The following is a 21,194-nucleotide window of genomic DNA, read 5'->3' as shown; positions in this document are numbered from 1 at the left end:
TTATGTGGAGTTGCTTACTAGACTTCTGAGAACCTGGGGACTGGCCAGGGACAGAATTGGAAAATATCCATGGAAAGGGTGTGCTGGGTGTGATTCCCTAAGGTTCTTAATGCATTTGTAATAGGATTAGTGTTGCCTGGAATCCTGGGCATCTGTCCTCCTCTCCTGTGCTCCGTGTGTCCCTTGGGTCTGAGGATTGCCAGGAATTAATAACCCATCCGGGGCCTTTGGAGACTAAGAAAATAGATGCTCAAGCTCTTCCCCAAATGTCCTGTATGTGATGCTCTTTGTAGTGTGTCTCTGGATGGTACTTTCTGGCTTACATAGGGCTTCATCTGCCTGACTTCATCCCACTCTACAGGTTCACTGGGACAGGAGTGATGGGCTTCATTTTTAAAGATGAGGACCAGGTGCTCACAGAAGTCAAGCCATGTGCCCAAGCAACACAGCTAAGGGACAACCAGGCCCAGGACACTGTGGCTACCAAGCTACTTTGCTCAACACTGAACCCAGTGACCATGGGCATTTGGTTTCTACACTGTGTACCTCAGTTTCCTCATCTTCAAAATGAAGAGGCAGCACAGGGTCTGAAATGGGATGCTAGACCAGGAGGCAAGGACTTGTGCTTAAGTCCTGGGACTTAACCCTGTCCCAGGGTCTTTGTGCAATCTTGCAGAGGTCATTTTTCCTATCTGGATCTCAGCCTTCCCTTCTGAAAAGTATGGAAAGGGAAAGGGAAGGAGATGAGTTTTGACACCAGTGCAATTATTGGAAGTTAGCATGCAACAATCATCTACTATTCACCGAGTCCTCTTCTTGGAGACTCACATTACTTCATTGACTCCTCCCCAAAACCTGGGAGGTGGGCGTGGTTGTGCATGTTTTACAGATGTGGAGACTCAACTTGGTGTGTTGCCAGATCCATACTCTTGGCCAGACAGCTTCTCGGGACTCTGATCTCTGACATTCCAAGATTCCAGGCAGAGGGGCCAATCCTGCCTCTCCCACTTTCTAGCTGTGTGACATTCTGGAAGGGTTGCTTGACTTCTCTGAGCCTCAGTTCTTTCATCTGCAAAATGGGTCCAATAGTGCCCACCTTGTGGAGCTACTGAGATAATTAGATGATACAGTACAGGTTGCACTGTCCAGCATATGGCAAATGGGGTCTCTTTGTCTTCTCCCACCCACATTCAGAAAATGCTTGAGAGGAGCCAGGCTAAGTGAGGGGGTCGAAGGATCTCCTCTCTCTCCAGCAAATCCTGCCTCCCCCTCCCCCAATTCTGTTCTGCTCCACCAGACTCAAGTTCCAGCAGCTGCAAGTAATTGGATTTAACTTAATAGTCTTATTGATGCCTTTTGGTTCAGGCAACGCAGAGGCCCCTGGGTAATTTGCACATTTTAAACAAACCAAATAAAGAGCTGATAAGCATAAACAAGTCCATTTTAATTGGATTAACGGGGGCTTGGCTTGGTGACCATAAAAACCACAGAGGGGCTGGAGAAAAAGGGCTCTTGGAGATTTCAGATTTTCTGCTTCTTTGGACTGCCCCTATCCACACCCTTTCCCCCACCCTGGGGCATTCTGCACAAGGCATTGGCTTCCTGCTGAATAAATTGTGCTCTATTGTATTCATGTCCATGTTTTACACAGACGCACATGAGATGGTGGTGTCTTTCCTCCACTCTCCCTCCCCACCTGCTATGTACAGTTTGACAAGTGGTTCTACCCACTGGCTTTGGTCTGAGATCAAAGGCCCAAGCCCTGACCCTGTCACTTTCCTGCTTATCTTGAGCAATTCATTTAATCCTCTGAACCTCAGTTTCCTCCATGGTGAAAAGGGATGGTACTGGTTTCTGCCCTGTAGGTTTGATGTGAGCATTACATGCTGGTAAGTTGCCCGCCACTTAATAGGTTCACCAAAATGGCAGCCACTAATAACATGAGCCAGTTGGAGCGGTCACAGCCCCTGCTCTCATGGGAGCCAAAATCTAGCTGACATCCCAGCTAAATAGAGACAGCCACCTGTAAGTGTAATACGTACTGAATGAAGACTCACCTAACCCAGCCAAAGGGGCCAGGATGGCTTCCCAGAGGAGGTGGCATTTAAAGAATGAATAGGAGCTGGCTAGAGTTGCACTTCCCAAACTAATGTGTGTGCAAGTCCCCTAGGGATCTTGTTAAAATGCAGTTTCTGACTCCAAGGATCTGAGGCAGGGCCTGAGATTCTGCACTTCTAACCAGCTCCCAGGTGATGCTGACTGGGCTTGTCCGAGGGCCATATCTTGAGTTAGTAGAAGTTAGCGAGTTGATGAAGCCAAGATTTGAGGCCAGCCAGCTTGCCCCCAAAGCTGGCCTTTTTAACTGTGCTCTGCCTCCTCAAGAGACCAGCAGGAGGATGGGGAACAGGTATCCTGAGGCATCTAGCAGGGCAGATGGGTCTCAGAAGCTTGTAGCCTGGGTGGGAAATTATATCAACATTTCCTTATTTTGTCTTACACTTCCATGACTGTTTTGCATTTGACAATGTGCTATATTTGAGCCTGTTCTTATGTAAAAATAACACTCCCCTCTCTGAATATATTTTTTCTTCTATATTCCAGTAAAATTCATGTCCCAAGCTGTGCCTTCCCACGTGGTCCGACATGGTCCCACATGGTCCATCCAGGGAGTGCTGGTCCTATGTGATCACTGGCCTGGGCAGCAATTCACAGATGCTTTTGAGGATGGAACTGTCTGACCTGGACTGCATCGTGGCCTGACTGCCAAGGCATATGTCCTGAAGTGTGGTGGGGTTTTGTTTACACACAAATTCTTATCTGAGGAAGGAAGTAAAAATCCTGGTATCATGCCTCCAATTGCATCAGAGCAGGGCAGTAGGGTGGAGTCTGGTCTGCAGAGACAGCCAGGCCTGGGTTCCAGAGCTGGTCTTGCTTTTTTCACAGCTGTGTGATCCTGAAGACATTATTCACCTCTCAGCCACAGTTTTCTCATCTGTCAAATGGGGCTTGTACTAGCACCCTGTCAAAAGCTGTTAAGAGCAAATGTTAATTTCTTGCTTTCTGGGGGCCCAATGTACTCAACTGTAAAATGGAAAAGTTGAGCTAGTCCAGGGGTTGACAAACTATATCCTGTGGACTGCAGCCTGTTTTTGTAGTTACAGTTTTAATGGCACATGGCCATGCTCCTTCATTTACATATTGTCTATGGCTGCTTTTGTGTTACAGAGACAGAGGTGATTAGTCATGACAGGCTTTATGGCCACAAGCCTAAAATATTTGCTATCTTACCTGTTACGTAAAAATATTTGATGTTCCCTGGGCTAGTCCAGTGAATTGCAAACTTTTATCAGCTGATATAGGGCACACTCTTGGTTGTCTACCTGTTGCATGTTGGATTTTTCAGATAAGTGGACTCTGAGATGGAATGTAGTGTCCAGGACATTTTTTTTTTTTTTTTAAGGGAGTGCCCTTGGATCAACACCTGTGGAAGGATGGGGAAGGAAGTGGAACCAGCCAGAGAGAGAAGTTGAGCTGTGATGCAGGCTCAATGACATTTTCAGCTGACTCCTTAGAGACATAGAATGCCTCTTTGGGAGTTGTCTTAAGTTGTGCTGTGTGTTCAGACCTTTTACCTTATATCAATTAGTCCTTCAATAAGGGCTGCCCCAGGAAGGGCATGACCTTGAAAGCTGAGGCAATCCCTGAATAACTGACAATTGAGCCCAAGGACTTCATTGAAAGGAGCAGTACATTTTAGAGTCCCCCACCTAGCCCCACAGCCACTCCCAGTCTATTCATTGTTGACAGAGCTCTGCTTTGTTTGATGACCAGCCCTAAGGGTTAAATTCTGACTCCCTGACTTGTTAAAGCCTTTCATCTTTCTCCCTTTCCCCTTTACCATCTTTTCCTTCTCAGTCTTCCTTAGAGCTAGCAGTGATCATGGGACCAATTCTGGCCAATAAGGTATAAGGAGAAGTCTGCAGTGATGGAGGAGATAGCCTGCAGAAATAGTGGTCCTGAAAAAGACACTTTGCTTTCTGACTAAAAGTGATAGGTTTGAAAGGGCAATTTGACTGACAACCCCTTTCCATTTTCTTCCTTCCTACATTTCTTCCAGATGTAGTCATTGATGCCTGGGGCTGTAGCAGCTCTATTGAGGCCATGAGGCAACATGAGTTCAAAGGATCATCACATTAGGATGGCAGAATGAAAACTAAATAAATAAATGAGAAAACAGATAAGGAAAAGTAAAGAGAAGAAAAGAAAATAAAAGAGAAAGGGTCTAGGCTATTCGTATCATTGTTGAATCATTGAATTAGGCCTGGAACCATTGATCTCCAGTCTTCTTGTTAAGTGAGATATTGTATTAAGTACTGTGAGTCAGATATTCTATTACTTATTGTCCAAAGCATTTCAAACTAATAGGGATTGTTTGGCCTTATGAAACCCTGCATGGAACCTTATATGTGAAGATGAAATCAGAGCTGTTGTAGTTAAAGCAAACCTGGAAGCTTAGACCTTCCCTCCTATACTTACCTCCCTTTGGGCACCTCCACAGATCTCTGGGGAATCCTGTTTTCAAACTGAGGATGGTGGTGTGTCAGTTACCTATTGCTGCAATGACGCTGTGTAACAATCACAAAATTTCAGTGCATACAGCAATAAGAGCTTGTTGCTCACCATCTGGGCTGGTTAACTAGAGAATGCTGCCGATCTTGGCTGGGGTCACTCATATGTCTGGTACACAGTTGATTGTTGGCTGATCTAGAATGGAATCAGCTTGGGCAGTTGGGTCACTAAGCTTTCCTCTCTAAGTCTCACCTTTCAGCAGAGGTAATAGACATGAAAGACAGCAGTCAAGCCTAATTAGGCAAGCACTTTTCTAGCCTCTGATGATATCATATTTGCTAACAGCCCAGTGACAAAGGCAGGCCACGTGGCCAAACCCACAGATGGAGTGGGAAATTACTGCAAAGTCACATGATGCAGGGTGTAAGGAGGATTAAGAAACTAGGACCATTTTTACAATGTAACACATGTGGTATCTGAGGATCCTCCTGATTTTAAATGTATGACCTTGAAAGGTCCACAGGAACCCCATTTTAAGGAAGTGGCTTTTTCCATTTCAATGATCAACCACATGGTTTAGCAGGTTAGTTCTTAGGGCATATGCTACAAAACACCTGGGCTTAAATACCTCAGACCAGCTAGATGTTGATCAGATACACCTGTGATGACAAATATGGCTACCTATAGTGGGGATTCAGTGGATTAGACCTATATCCATACATTTAAGAATTACACTAGGAGAACCAAGGAGCCTGTGGTTCCCACCCTAGTGTCCCTGAGTGGGGAGAGGGATGATTTGTAGCTCAGAAACATGAAGGGACTGTCAAAGACTCATGAAATCAGCCATATGAATAGTGGAACATAAGTTAAAGTTCCACTTGTTGCATGACACATGAATTTCATCAAGATTAAAAGAAAAGCACTGAGCATACTTATGTAACTAACTGAGGTTGGCACACCAATATGCTGCATTTGCCTATGTGGTGCTTGGTTCACCCTCCTGCGCTCAAGGATTTGTTTATTTGTGTGGCCACCCACACAGCTCTGTGCCACTGGATACACATGGTTTCCACTCTTCTTCAGATTTTCTTATCATGCTCACATGCAATTTCTTTCCTGGGAGCTGCCACCACTTGAAAGTTTGTCCAAATAACAGCCTATCTTCACCTAGTCAGTCTTTTCAGAAAACCATCAGCCTGTATGCATTTATGTGTCTTACTTTTGTTCATGTCTTTCTCTTTCTTCACCTGAATTAGAATCTCCAGAAGGGATAGATTGAAATTATAAGCATCCCAAAGGAAACAATGGTGCCTAGGCATAAAGGGTATTTCAGGACCACGGATAAAGCCCTTGACACAGTAGACACGGTATGTCTATCACACAGCCCATGGAGGACAAATCTGTTGCTTAATTTTCCTCTCTGTAGAGCACTGTTTCATCGGGAAATGGATAAGTGGTTAAGAGCTGGAGTCTGGGGTTAGCACGTCTCAGTGTCACTCCACCCCCTCTCACTACTACCTTCTTGACACAGCCTCTGTTTCCTCTTCAGTAAAATAAGAAAAATAAAAGTGTCTAACTCCTAGAGTTGTTGGGATTAAGTGGCATGGTAGGTTGAATTACTGGCTCTAATTCTTCATCCCTACTTGTTTTCATGCCATATGACATGGCAGTTCATTCTGCTGGAGTCAGGGTATATTTCCCCATTCCTTGATTTTGGGTTTGCCATGTGACTTGTTTAGCTAATGGGATATTAGCAGATGTGTTACAAGCAGAGGCTACAAATGTGCTTAGAAATTCTCTCCTGTGCTTTTGTCATTGTCATGAGCAAAGCTTCCCCCAGGTAGTAACTGCTTCTTCAGCTTGAACCCCAGAACCAACCTACATGGAAAAATTGGAGCTCAACCTTTAGTCTGCAGCATAAGACCTGAAGTCCAGCCTGGCCCTGCCATGTTGTAGCACACACTTAAACCTGCAAAATAAATGATTGCTGTTTTGAATCACCGACCTAGGATGGTTTGCAATGCAGAGTTATCAAGACAATAGCTGGCCAATACAAATAAGATAAAGCATGGACAACACTTAAAACAGTGCCTGCAAAAAGTAAATGCACCATAAATTTTGGCTTTCAGGGACATCATTATCAGGAGCAGACAGAAAGGTCAGTGGTGCATTACCAAGGTCTGTCTGTCCAACCTCAGGCAAGTTATTTAACCCACACTTGTTTTCACTTTCCTCATGTACAGAATGAAAACAAGAATACCTCTTCTGAGTATGTTTGAAATAATCAAAAAAGGTATGAACCTAAAACAGTTTTGGAAACTATAAGTTGTTCGACAATAAAGGCAATGTGGTCAGGTGTTCCTAGCACATCCAATGAGTTAGAAACAACACTCACATTATGAAATCAAGTTGAGAGACACAACCAGTGCCATAGGGAGCAACAGCCATTAGCTGAAATCAACAAGCTACTAGCTTTAATCCAATTTGTCAACAATACACCTTCTACTGATTTGCTGCCAATTCCCAAGTACAGCCTCTGGCCTCACCCAGAGGCATCCACCGGTGTGGTGTACTTTTAGCATCAGGAGAAGAACCAAATGGTTCCCAGCAATCTGCTGTAATGACTGAGAAAAAATGTTTTCATGAACACTGTTCTCTTGGGGTAAGGAGCTACCACCTGCAGGTCTCCTTGGAAAGGTAACTAAGTTACTAAGAATAGAGGCACATGAATAGTTATCCCTGTTTAAAACAGATTAGCAAGCTGTCCACCAACTGGGAGAGGGAATGAGGCAGAGGGTAGATGTGTTTTGATGGTAAGAATGAGGTAGGGTAGAGAGACAGAAAATACAAAGCATGAATCCATGCCAAGGAGAAGGGAATTGAGAGAATGGGAGAGGATGGGAGAAATGGACAGTAATGTTCTTTGGAAGCCACTGGCAATTAGGAGACCTTGATATGCCTGGGTTCACAAGAGCATGTGAAATTTAAACAAAGATCTCTTAAATAGACCAGAAAAAGCACAAATTAAAACAGAAAAATTGAGAAGTTGAACTTTGTTAAAATGAACATTTTTTGCCCTTCAAAAAATACTGTTAAGAAAATAAAAAGGGAAGCCATCGACTTGATGTAAATATGTATATTCAGTAAAGCTTGTTATCAGAATATGTAAATAATGCTTACAACTCATTAATAAGACAAACAACCAAATTAAAAAACAGGCAGAATATTTGAACAGACACTGCACTAAAGAAAATATAGAGATAGTAAGTAAACATGTGTAAAGATGTGCTGTATCATTCCTTATCAGAGAGATGCAAATACAAACCACAATGAAATGTCACTCAAACCCACTAGAATATCTGAAAGTAGAAAGACTGACAATTCCATGGCTAGGCATGGTAGCTCATGCCAGTAATCCTAGCTACTAGGTGGGAGAATCACTTGAGGCCAGGAGTTCAAGACTAGCCTAGGCAATATAGCAAGACCCTGTCTCTACACAAAAAGTAAAAATAAAAAATTAGCCAAGTATGGTGGCATAAACCTTATAGTCTCAGCTACTTGGGAGGCTGAGATGGGAGGATCACTTGAGTTCAGGAGTTCAAGGCTGCAGTGAGCTATGACTACACCACTGCACTCCAGTCTGGGCAACAGAGTGAGACTCTAAGAAACAAAACAAAACAAAACAAACAAAAAACCAACCGACAATAACAAGTGTTGGTGAGAATGTGAAGCAACTGAACTTTCATACATAGCTGGTGGGAATGCAAAATGGTACAGCCTCTTTGGGAAACAGTTTCTTTTTTAAAAAAAATAAAGTTAAACCTACACTTAATTTTTGACCCAGCAATTTCACTCATAGGTATTTACTCAACAGAATGAAAGCCTATGTCCATACAAAGACCTATATGTGAATGTTTATAGCAGCTATTCTAAACTGGAAATAACTCAAATTGCCAACAATTGGTGAATGGTCAAAAAAACTGTGGTATGTCCATATAGCAGGGCACGGTGTAGCAATGAAAAGGAATGAACCGCTCACACATGCAACAACATGGATAAGTCACAATAGCAGGAAGTCAACTGAAAGAAACAAGACTCATTGTATAATTCCATTCATATGAATTTCTCAAAAAGGCAAAACTGTAGTGATAGAAAGCAGATTGGTGGTGGCCAGGGGGTCATAAGGCAGAGGAAGGGAATCAACTGTCAATGTCAGGAAAGAACTTTTTGGGAAAATGGTAATGTTGTATAGCATGATAGTGATGGTGATTACGTGGCTGTATACGTGACTGTCAAAACTCGTCAAATCACATACCTGAAATTGGTAAACCTTGTTGTATGTGAAATATACTTTAATAAAGCTGACCAAAGAACATGACAAAAGAAAACACTAAGCCCATGGTACAGGATGTATTAATAGACAATACTGATTAAATGGCTTTGATAGGCTTGTCTCATTTTCTAGATTAGGAAACTGAGGGTCAAGAACATGAAATGACATTCCTAGGTCCACACCACTGGGAAGTGGCAGAGTCAAGACTTGAACCCAGGAAGGTGAGCTTGGAGCCCATCTGCTTTCCACAGGACCCCATTCAGGCCCTGAGACCAACCAGACTGCCATCCTGTGGCTTGAGAATTAGGTCAATTGTTGGGGAAAGACATAATCCTAACATTTGAGGGGCCCCTGGTTTCTCTTTAGAATTAGCTAACAATTACCAAATCCATGTATTTAATGAGGTGGAAAGCGGCCTATGATAACAATAATTAGCACTTAACCATCTCTCTCTGTAACACCAGCTTGCTTTAAAGGTATGTTTATTAATTAAACACTTTGCACAGAACTGGGAGGTGAGGGAAGGGTGGATGGTCGGCTTTCCAGGAAAGCCGACAAAGGCAAGGAATTGGGTGCGGTTTTTCCTAGGTCAGGCTCCTGCCAGTCTCAGCTTGGGGCCCTGTGGCCTTGGTTCACTCAGCCCATTGACATGCAGAGAGAAGGCACACAATCCTGCCGCCCCCTCTAAATCAGAGTTTTGACAACAGGGAATGTAGGTGTGAAATATTATGTGCCCTTGGGCAAGGCTCTTCCCCTCTTGGACCTCGTTTCTCTCAGTGAGTTGGTTCATGCGATTCCAAGTCCTGCATACACCCCTAGACTTCCCATTTCAAGGATGCACTGAATCCTTAGGGGATCACTCAGCCCACCACCTTGGGGTTACAGTGGGGAGGACTGAGACCTGGAGAAGGCAGGGCTTTGTTGGTATAGTATTTCTGAACAAAATCCAGTTCCATGATTAGAGAGGGGAATACATAGATTTTGGCTGAAGAAAGAGTTGCTGGAAAAGTCACACTATGGTTCAGTCCTCATGGAGCAGCCTGGATCTGGAGGCAGGGGACTGGATGCTTTTGTGGGGTGTGTTGGATAAGTGGAGGGAGGGTGCAGTGTGGAGTGACTGTGTGAGCCAAATAATTGCCAAGGGGTGAGTGAACATGCAAATAAATGAATGATGGATGAATAAATGAATCAATGAATGAATGATATTAGAGAGGCAACTAGATGTCAGTCTCTGTATGTTTCAGTCAGAATCCCAGGAGGAGATTAGGATAATCCAAGGAAGATTTTATTATGGATGGATGTTTATGAAATTGTCATCAGAGTGTGGGGGACCCTCAGGAGAGTGTGGTGACCTAGGAAACTGTTTCCACTTCCAGACTCAAAAGGAGGAAGGAAAGGGGCAGCTCCTGGAACTTGGAAGGAGAGAATGTGCAAAGAAGCAAAAGTAAGGGTGTGATCCAAGGCAGAGCCAGCCTACAGCTGCCCTGCAGGGAGGAGGCCAGAAGAATAAATTTCCTACCTCCCTCTGCTCCCGTCCCCAATCTCCTGCCAGCTCTCTTCTGACACAGCCCACACAGGTCAACCTCCTGAGAAGAAGGTAAGGAGGAGAGGCAGGGGAGTGGATTCAGAGGGGCATACAGACGTCATCCAGCCCCTTCCAGAAATTTTCTACAACTCGCAATTCTCTACTTCTGATCTCCATGCATACCCTTTTGAGGTACCTTGAAGCAAATAGTGAGTCAAACCAAGGGCGATCCCAGAACTGTGCCCCAGTTGCGGTGAGTCAGTTCTCCCCAAAGTTTCTCTACTTTTCCTCACCCAACATGACAGCTAATACTATTCAAAGATGCTACACCATGATCTCACATCCCATGTACTGTTTTTACAGTGGAATGTTGCCTTCCCCATCAAAGATAGAGTCTATGTCCCCTCCCTTCGAATCTGGGTGGGCTTGTGACTATGAGGAAATTATGCTCTGTGGCTTCTGAGGCTAGATCTATAAAATCAATACACTTGCCTGCCCCCTCTCTCAGGACACATGCCTTGGGATCCCTGACCACCAATAAGAAATGCTTCCATGAAGCCGCCATGCTGGAGAGACCACATGGGGATAGAGAGAGATGCCCAGGTGTTCCAACCCCTTGACATATGAGAGATGAGCAGTCAGAAGATTCTCGTTGCCAGCCAATGCCCAGTGGAACAGGGATGAGCTGTTCTTGTGCAGACTACACATCCATAAACAAATAAAGGGCACAGGTTCTGATGCTGACAGCCTGGGCGTGAATCTCTATTCCTCTGTGTGACTTTTGGGCAAGTGACTTCACCTCCATGAGTTTCAATTTCCCCATGTGCAAAATGCCATAGAATTGTGAAGGTTAATTGAGTTCGTCTATGTAAAGTGTTTAGCAGAGTGCCTGAACTGGTTCAATTTTTGTTTAATGTCAGCAATTCTTTACTCATCATAGCCACTGGTTTTGCTTCAAGCAAGTTCTTCCCATTATCAGTGTCCCAATCTCACTGTGATAAATAAAGGGTTTGAAGCCAGTGGTTTGCAAGCTCCCTTCTGGCTTTGGTTCTCTAGCTCTGGGACTAATTTACATACTCACCTGCTTGGGGGAAGGGAATTAGACCCCAGGCCATACACTACCTCCCAGCAGTCCCACACCAACCAGAGTTTGCAGTGCACAATCTGTACCACCATATACTGAGGACCTGTCTTCTAGATTACAGATCAAGAAAGCCCTGTTCAGAGTGATCCGGAGGGTTCTACCTCTGGGGCAGAAACCTTTATCCTCCCTCTTCAAAGCCCTGCCTTTCTTCCTGAGAGACCAGGCACTATCCTCCCCAGGGCAACCACTTATTGTCAACTGCAGATTTCTGGCCTCATAAACTTAATAAGAGGCAGAAGGAAGATTGAAGCTATGTATAGATCATAGAGAGTAAAATACCATCGGTTTCGGGCTTCTCCAGTATAATGTTCACAAGCCAGCTGATCATGGGGCCACATGTAATCTATAAATATGTTCTGTTTGACCAACATTGTGTTTTAAATGATAAAAAGGTAAGAGATTTTACCTAAAAGTTTCTTGAAAAAATTGGAAGCTCTGGAAACTGTAGCTTATGTAGGAATAATTGACTAAAGCTAAGTTGTAGCCATCTCCTTCATGGGATGTAAATTCTCCTATACAGCTCTACCATCTCCCTTCCTCACCTTTGTGTTGTAGGGTCACAAATTATATAAAAACACAACAATACTGGATTTTATATTTACTTATGTATTTACCTTTATCAGAGTTCATTAATCCTTCATGGCCTTGTGTTACTGTCTACTGTTTTTTCATTTCAGCCTGAATGTATCCCTTTAGCATTTGTTGTAGGGCAGATCTACTAGCAAGGAACTCCCTCAGCTTTTGTTTATCTAGGAATGTCTCCATTTCTCCTTTATTTTTGAAGGATAGTTTTGCAGGATATAGAATTCTTTGTTGGCAGTTTTATTTTTCTCTCAGGGCTTTTAATGTCTCACTGCCCTCTGGCTTTCATGATTTCTGTTGAGAAATTGGCTGTTAATCTTATTGAGGATTCCTTGTATGGGACAAATCACTTCTCTTTTACTGTTTGCAAGGTTCTCTTTGTTTTTGTTTTTTGGCCATTTGATTATAATATATCTCAAAGTGAATGTCCTTGAGTTTATTCTACTAAGAGTTTATTGAGCTTTTGGATGTATAGATTCATGTATTTATTCAAATTTGTGAAGTGTTGAACTGTTATTTTTTCAACTATTCTTTATATCCCTTTATCTTTCTCTCCTTCCTCAGGAACTCCTATATGCATATGTTGTTATTCTTGATAGTGTCCTATGTTCCTTAGGCTCTGTTCACTTTTCTTTATTCTTTTTCCTTTCTGTTCCTCAGACCAGATCATTCTAATTTTTCCATCTTCTGGCTCACTGATTCTTTGTTTCTGCCTGCTCAAATCAGCTACTGAACCCCTTTAGTGAGTTTTGATTTCAGTTATTTTACCTTACAGGTCTAGAATTTCTATTTGGTTTCTTTTTATAGTTTCAATATTGTTTCTGATATTCTCATTTTATTCATACATCATTTTCCTGATTTACTTTAGTTATTTGTTCATGGTTTCCTTTAATTGCTCAGATATATTTGGAACCATTTATTTAAGGTTATTGTCAAGTTACTCCAACGTCTGGGCTTTCTCAGGGATGATTTCTGTTAATTTATTTATTTTTCCCTTTGACTAAGTCATACTTTCCCATTCTTTTGCATGCCTTGTGAAAGCTGGTTGTGTTGAGTATTATATAGTGGTAACTCTGGATATCATGTTTTCCCTGCTCCCAGGATTTACTGTTGTTGATTGTTGGAGGCTGCAACTGTTCATTTGTTTAGTAACTTTTCCAAATTATTTTCGCAAAGTCTGTATTCCTTGTCATGTGTGGTCAGTGAAGTCTCTGTTCCACCATCTCAGTGGTTAGACAGTGACCCAACAAAGATTTCCTTAAATAGTGAAATTCAGCTTCTCTTTTCTTCATTAAGCGTTCCCTTGGTTGTTGTAAGTTTTGGATTAAATTCCCAAGTTCCAAAACGTTTATTCTTTCAGTCTTTACCACCTTATGGTTGTTTTAGTGGAGAGACTAATTCTTTTAATTCCCTACTCTATACTTTTCTGTGATGTCACTGAAACAGATGATATCCTGTTCCCACCACTCCCTATTGGTTCTTTGATATAGAGTTAGCTGCCATTTAGTACTGTGCCGGCATATTTTTCTTGTAGTAGAGAAGTACATTTCTCTATATGTCTTTATCAAAAGTGAGAATTGAAAAAAGGCTATGAGAACCCCATGTTTCATGAAAATTACAGGGGTAGAATATATTTCTTTGTGGAAATGAGAAGTATTCTTTTGTGTTCAGTATGTGAAATTACTTCACACTTAACTCACTTGTGGTACACATCTGTCTCCTCTTGCCATGTGAATTTGAGATCCTCTACTGATGGTCTGGTAGTTTCTTTAGTTGGAAAGTAAGAAAAAGTTATTTCTGTTCTATCGAGACAATGTCAGGTGAAACCTACTCTGGATATTAGCTACTAATAAGGACTTGGGGATGACTCTGATGTGGTCTTCTAGTGGAAGATACACCAGAGAGCCTACCGGTGATTTGTTTCTCCCTTTATCTCTTGCCAATCTGTCCTTCCTTTGACCTTTGGCCTCAGGGTTCCCCAGAGTCACCAAATTTCATTTCTGGGAATTTACTCTGTGTCTGACATAAATCATGTCAAACAGGTTAATGAAAGTGGAGTAGATTCCATACCCAATAAAAACTGCTTTGAGACCAGGCCTGCTCCTCAGGCATAAGGGTGGTAGCTCTTGCTTACTGACCACCTACTGTATTTCAGGTGCTTCATAAACACAAGCTTATTCCATTCTCCCAATAGCTCTGTGAGATAGGTACCATTACTTCTACTTTACAGAAGAGAAAATTGAGACTCAGGGAGTTTCATATTTGGTGGAGGTGAGACTTAAACCCAGCAAGAACCTCAGAAACTTTGTGTCCATAGTACTATGTGCTGTAATATTTCACCTGGTGCTCTAAATTGCACCTGTCAGCCCACTTCCAATTTCAGTTGTGGCTGGCATAGATCAATTTTGCAAGGCTTCCCATTCACTCCCTCTTTTGTTTCTCACCTCAAGCAAATGCCACACACCCTACTTTTGGCCCTTGGCTTCTCTAGTGTCATGAACTTTGGTTGTATCTTGCTTGGGCTCATGCAAGGGGAGTTATTAGCCCCAGGGACAACCCTCAACTAGTAAAAGTGGAGAGTTGATGAACATATACTCCCAACTCCTTCTGGCAGTTGATCCTGGGAGGCACTCTATATACTTCTTAGGAGATCCTAGTGGAATCACACCCTCACGACCCAAAGTCATGACTTGATAATGCAGTACACATTGGTCTTTGTCTTTCTTGTCTCACTTCTCCTGCTCCCTAGGGCCATCTCTCAATTAAACAACCTATACACAAATCCTTGCCACAGGCTCTGCTTTCAAAGGACCCCAAGCAAAGACAGGCAACATACTTAGATTTCTTGAATCAAGATTTTTTCCATGGATGAATATTGAAGTTTGAATAGGTGAAAGTGGGAAATATATCTGTACAATTATAAGGTGAGGTTTTGCACGAATCCACCACACTGGACATGTCCACATGGGTTTTTCTGGCTTCTTCAAGGTAGTCCCTATGACAGGTTTCCCCACTTGACATTACTGAGAGAAGTTCATACCCTGTAGGGCTAGTTTATAAACTACACAGAGGAAAAAAGCCTCATGACCACACTGTTGTGCCAGGTTTTCAGCTGACAAAGCACTTCATGGCTTAATCATGTCCTTGACCCCTCAAGTTAGCCAATGGCAGACACTTCTCTGAGCTATTACAAGCTGATTTCCTAATTTGTAAAATCTTCCATGACAACACTAACAATAATAGCGATGATAATAAAGATAATAATACTGTCGCCTTTTTTTTTCCCCTGTGTATATAGCACGGTGACTAACACAACACTCCCATAAGTTAAACTCCATGATGACCTCCATTTTAGAGATGACAGAACTAAGGCTCTCTGACATTTGACAGTTGGTCCTAGGTCACACAGCTGAGTCTAAATGTAAATCAGGTTTGTCTGACACTGGAGGTGTTCCATCCCCCACTCCTCACCTTTATTTATTATATTACACCAGCGCTTGTCAAAGTCGACACTGTTGACATTTTGTGTCAGATCACACTTCATTGTGGTGGGTTGTTCTGTGCATTGGAGTACATTGAGCAGCATCATTGCCCTCTACCCATTAGATGACGTCAGCAACTCCCCCTTCCCCTGGTTATGAAAACCAAAAATTTCTCCAGACATTGCTGAATATCCCCTGGGGTGAAAAATCATTTCTGCTTGAGAACCACCATTAGAGATTAGGATTTTGCACTTGGTTTTGATTAAAGATAGGGTTCCACTGCCCTAATTTGGAAACCACTGGATTCGTTGATTTTTAATTTCCTAATTTCGGTCCCAAGGGGTCCAAATGTTCCTTAAAACTATACATAAAACTTTGCGTGCGTGCATGTGTATATGTGCTTGCACTCATTTTTCTGGAGAAACAACTCATGGTTTTCATTAGATTTTTAAGGGGGTCTGAGAATTCCTCTTCCTCTCCCAGCCCCTTCCCAGTTGGATGATATGACTTTTGAGATTTTAAGTCCCTTTTCTCTTTTTTTTCTGCCTCCTCTCAAATTTCCCTCCTCCATTGTTGTAACAAAAGGGTCTTGGGCTATGGTTTCTTCTCCAGTGTAAGTCATTCCTGGAGAAGAAACTGCCACCCTGCCTCCATGGGCTGGGGGCTGTGGTGGTGGAAGCGAGGAGGAAAGAATTTCTAGGGAACCACTGAGCTGTGGAATAAGAGATTATTGCTTGGCAGTTGCCATGGGAACCTATAAACCAACTGTGCAGCTAAGAACCCAAAGGCGTCTGTACCACCAGCTCCCAGCCTGCTTCCCTTGTGGTGGCCTGATCTTCATCTCACCTCACCCCACGGGTCCTCAGCCCCAGAAAGGCTAGCACTTTGCTACCAGAACCCTCACTGCTGCCTTGCAAGACTCACCCTGTCTTCTTGACTCTGGACACACATGGCCCCCGCCAGGATGCAGTATAGTGGTTAAATATATGGACTCTGAAACTAGACTCCCTGGGTTCAAAGTCCATTATTTCCAAGCTGTGTGACCTTGGGAAAATAACTTCACCTTTTTGAGCCTTGGTTTCCCCGACTGAAAAATAGGGGCAATAAGAATCCCTGCCCCCCAGGGATACTTCAATGATGTTACATATGTGAAGCTCCCATCATAGTGCTCAGCACAGAGTTATTATTCAATAAATATTAGCTACTATCATCACTGTAGTTTCTTGTTTCCCTTTCTCCTTGGCCAATCTCTGGGCAGGCCAGATCCTTCTACCCACTGACTCAAAGATTTATGAGGCCAACAGATTGGTAGATGGTGTTAAATATAATTAATGTATTCATTCTTTCATCAGCTGAACATTTGCACATCATATAGTCTGTGCCAGGAGGCACAATGGGAATCCAGAAATGAAGATTTTGTTTCATCATAATGAAGCTCATATCCTTGTAAGACACACACACACACACACACACACACACACACACACACACACACTAGATTACTAAACTAAATGGCTATGTCCAGAGCTGTGATTAGGGAGGTTAGAGGAGGAATCAAATCTGGTCTCTGTAGTCAGGGGAAGCTGCCTGGAAGAGGAGGAGGCTGAGAGAAGTTATAAGGAGGCCAAGGCATCAGTCACATAAAGGCTTTCAAGTGGAGGAGACAGTATGAATGAAGACATGGAAAAGAAAAGAAATAGCATGGTACGTGCCTGTGTGCTTTGGGCAGTGGTGTGCTGGTAAATACTTAACTGTTTAAACCTCCAAAAAAGAAGAAGAAGGAGAAGCAGAAGGAGGAGAAGGAGAAGGAGAAGAGAGAAGAGAAAGAAGGAAGGAAGAAAGGAAGGAAGGAAGAAATGAAAAGAAAAACCTGATTTGTAGCATTTGCCAATTTCCATGGTGTATATTCCTACCATGGCCAATTTTAAACTACCCATGGGATGCCACTGAATGTGAGTTTGGGAAGAGATATGTTGGCTGTTGAGGGCTGGGCTGGTGGACTGCACCACACCATTGGCTTTGGGGGTCCAAGATGGGGTTGGGACAATAAAAAACAATTCTATATTACTAGAGGTAATATTCAGGGCAGCTAAAGGACTAGGTCAGGCCTGGTCTGGCAAGTGGCTTGTGGCTTTTATTTCAATATCCTTTAATATTCCTTGATTCACTTATTCAGAAAATCAATAGACATCTCCATAGCACTTACTATGTGCCAGGTACTATGCTAACTATAGGAATACATAGATCAAAATGCATGAAGAGCCATGGATGCACGGATAATATCAACAATGCTTTGTGCTCTGTTGTCATAGCAGTGCCTACATTGGGGCCAGTAGTTATCAAGAGGTCCATTGTAAACACACCTTTGCCTCACAGCAAGTCTACAGGATCATTGTAACCCACCCTCCTGGTGCACCATCTCTTATTGCAGGGTTGCCTGTACTTGGGAAGCTTTGGGAAACACAAAAGGACTTCCTGTCCCCATATTTTAGAAAATCTGATTCAGGAGGTCTGGGATAATAACTAGGCATTCCAAGTTCTGGAAGCCCAGGTAATTACGGTAACAGTTTAGGTACCTAACTTATGTCTCAGAAAGGAATTTCCCTTCCTCCCTCTTGTCTCCCACTTTGAAAGGACACGCAAAAGTCTTGTCGCCATCAAGTGCTATACCCTCTGTCTCACCCCTGGCTGACTGTTCATTTCTCCATAATTGTTCAGCAAATGACTCCAGAATACACAAAAATCATTTTGCTGCAACACATTCCATTCCGTAATGACTGCTCATTTCAATTAGCTGTCAGAGGCCTGAAATAGAGCTGCCCAGCCCTGCTTGGATAAATCACCACCTTTGTTTGAAATTGGATTTAAGGCAACCGGGGCAGAGCGGGTGGGGTGAGGGGATAAATATTTTATCATTTCTTCCTCCTCAGTGCTCTGCCAGTTTGTTCTCATTCTCGTGTTCCTCCCTGTGTTCACCGGCAGATTGCTGACTGTAAATTCGAGGGGCAATAGTAAACCTGCAAACATGATAAACAAACATGTAGCTTTTGCGAGGACGGATATTATTATCATCCAGATTTACAGCTCTCCGCACCTACCCGTTTTATTGCTTTTTGGGAAAGCTGAGCTAGGTTTCTGTGTTACATTGATCAACTTTCTGCCCTCCGCCCCCTGACATCTACTCTGAGTCATTTAAATATCAACATGGACTGGGGATACAATTCGTCTCTCTGGAAGTGAATGTGTCTTGACAGGTGTTTTCTTTGGGGACAGTTATTTATAACCACCAAAGCTATCATACAGTGGGGCGCCTTTGTCTCCTCTCATTGCTCTAAAAGTGAACATATTTTTGTTTTCCCAGTGGGAAGAAATGCAAGATCAATGATGTAAATCTCTCTTTCTCTGCTTCTTTCTCCCTGTCCTTTCTCTCTCTCTGTCCTTTCTCTGCCTCTGTCTCTTTCTCTCTCTCTCTCTCTGCATCTTCTGCCCTCTTCTGTCCCCTCCACCCTCTGGACAGGCCTTGGATCGTCCCCAGGTTCAAATCCAAGTGCTGCCACCAACTTTTGTGTCTCTTGAGCAAATCATTTAACTGCTCAGAGTTCAGCAATTTAAAACTATACATGTTCCCTCTCCCATGTTCCTCGTTGCCTATTTATAAGAGAGAATTGAATGAGATATTTCTGTCATCCCTATACCTTCCCTCCCCGCACCCCCAGCTTAGGTGGTGAACTCTCGGGGACAGGGAGCCATGCCAACTCAACCTCTTTTCTCCCTTTCTCCCTGGCTCCTCTGCTCCCTCCCTGGAGCTGCTCAGGCCAGAACCTTGGGGTCCTCTTTGTCTTGTCATCTCCCCATCCCCACATCCAGTGTGTCACCGTGTCCTGCAGATTCTTCCCCAGCTCTCTCCACACTCTGTGCCTCTCTCTGACCCCAAAGCCCCACACTTCTCATATTTTTGAGTGCCCCCAAAGTGCCAGGCACTGATCTGGTCTCTGAGCACTGTCCCCTCTCATGAGGAGCACATAGCAGTTTCTTTACTGTTTTAAGGCTTGTCCCCCCCCCCCGCCCCCCCATCCTCTCTCTCTCTCTCTCTCTCTCTCTTTCTCTCTTACTGTAATAGCTAAGGGCTGGGGCAGTGGAGCGCGTGCCTGCAGATTCTGTTGCTAAGGAAACCACTTCCTTGGTTACCAGCCTGGGTAGCATTTGTCTCACTATGTCTGGATCCTGCTGAGTCGCCCCCACTCTTCAGGAAGAGGATGAGGAGATGGGAGAGGACAACAGGGGTGGGGGAAGGGAGGGGTAGAGAGAGGCAGAGAGCTCAGAGATCAAAAGGTAGAGATGGAGAGATTTTGCACAGGCAGAAACAAAAATCAAGGAAGAGAGAAAGGGAGAGAGAGAAAGGGGGGGAAGGAAGAGGAGAAGAGAGAAGAGAAGGAGGGGCAGAAAGACAGGAAAGAAAAGAGATTTAATGAGCAGCTGGAGGAAATCAGAGACCACAAAGAGGGGAATTGAGAACAGGAGGCTGGGTAAAGAAAAACAGAGAGAGAAAAGGGGGAGGGATGAGGTGACAAAACAATGAAGGAGAGAAAGGGGAAGGAAGGGTGCTGGGCCTCCGGAGGAGGCTGGGTCCCTGAGGATCTGCTCCCAGCATCCTTTTTGCCTCCCCCTCTGCCCACTCCCACGTTTTCCACTGGGATGTGTGTGCAGCCTCTTCTGGGGTTGTAGGAGAATCCAGAAGAAATCCCCCAAATCAGCAGATTCTGAGCCCTGGTCTTTCTCCTGAGTCCTGGAGCCACAGTGAGCCCCAGGCAGCAGCAGGAGGAGAGTCCAGGTGCCCTGGTTTCCAGGCCAGGCATGGACCCTACATCGGGGAATGCTTGGATCCAAAGCTTTCCTTCTTCTTTGGGTGCAAGGGCCTTGTCACTCTCTGTATGTGGAAAGGACTTTTAGGCCCTTGGAGGAGACAGCAGTGGCCCCAGCTCTGCTATGGCAACCTAGGCTTTCTGGGTTTTGGGGAATGCACTGTGAACAAGTATCCACTTGTGACTGTTGCACGTTGAGTTTTTGCTGTTTCGAAAAAGTTCCAGGAAGAAGCTCAGCCCTGGAAAATCAAAACCCAGTTGGATCCACAGATGCCTGAGTTGGAGATGAACTTTGGCGAACTCTCCTCATTACCATACTAACCCCACACCCTGCCCAATCCCAGGGAAGAACTTATTGGCCATTTTCTATGCATGCGACATATGTGGAAGGATGATCCTTGACTGCACATTTGCGGCTTTGACCCCACCTCTGCATACAATGGCTCAGCTCACCAGCTCAATACGAGCCCTGTGTTCACTGTTGTTCAGGGAAGCACTGCTTTGGGAACCATCTCTAGTGTCCTACTTACTCGTGACAAATAATAAAATCCCCCTGTTAAATCCTCCTTGGTTGTAGTCACCCGCCAAACAATTGAACCCACCGGTTGTGTGGGTAACACTATTAGTTTCTGTGTGGCTTGGGCCAGCCACTGCCTGCCTCTTAGCAATGATGCCCCCCTCTAAAATGGAGTTAATG

The 21,194-nt window shown here is 43.8% G+C and overlaps 1 long non-coding RNA gene across 1 annotated transcript; it reads right to left on the bottom strand.

Annotated features, from left to right (window-relative positions):
* Nucleotides 1–9,367: 9,367 nt before the first annotated feature.
* On the bottom strand, nt 9,368–19,674 carry LOC124903078 (uncharacterized). The gene is made up of 2 exons (XR_007063585.1): nt 15,625–19,674; nt 9,368–13,920 (listed from the first exon to the last, which is right to left on the bottom strand). It is a non-coding gene; the product is annotated as an uncharacterized LOC124903078 (long non-coding RNA).
* Nucleotides 19,675–21,194: the final 1,520 nt, after the last annotated feature.

The sequence above is a fragment of the Homo sapiens genome, chromosome 12 (assembly GCF_000001405.40).
Source record: "Homo sapiens chromosome 12, GRCh38.p14 Primary Assembly".
In the NCBI taxonomy this organism is placed as follows: domain Eukaryota; kingdom Metazoa; phylum Chordata; class Mammalia; order Primates; family Hominidae; genus Homo; species Homo sapiens.
Note: the sequence above shows the minus strand (reverse complement) of the source record. Positions and strands in the feature narration are given on the sequence as shown.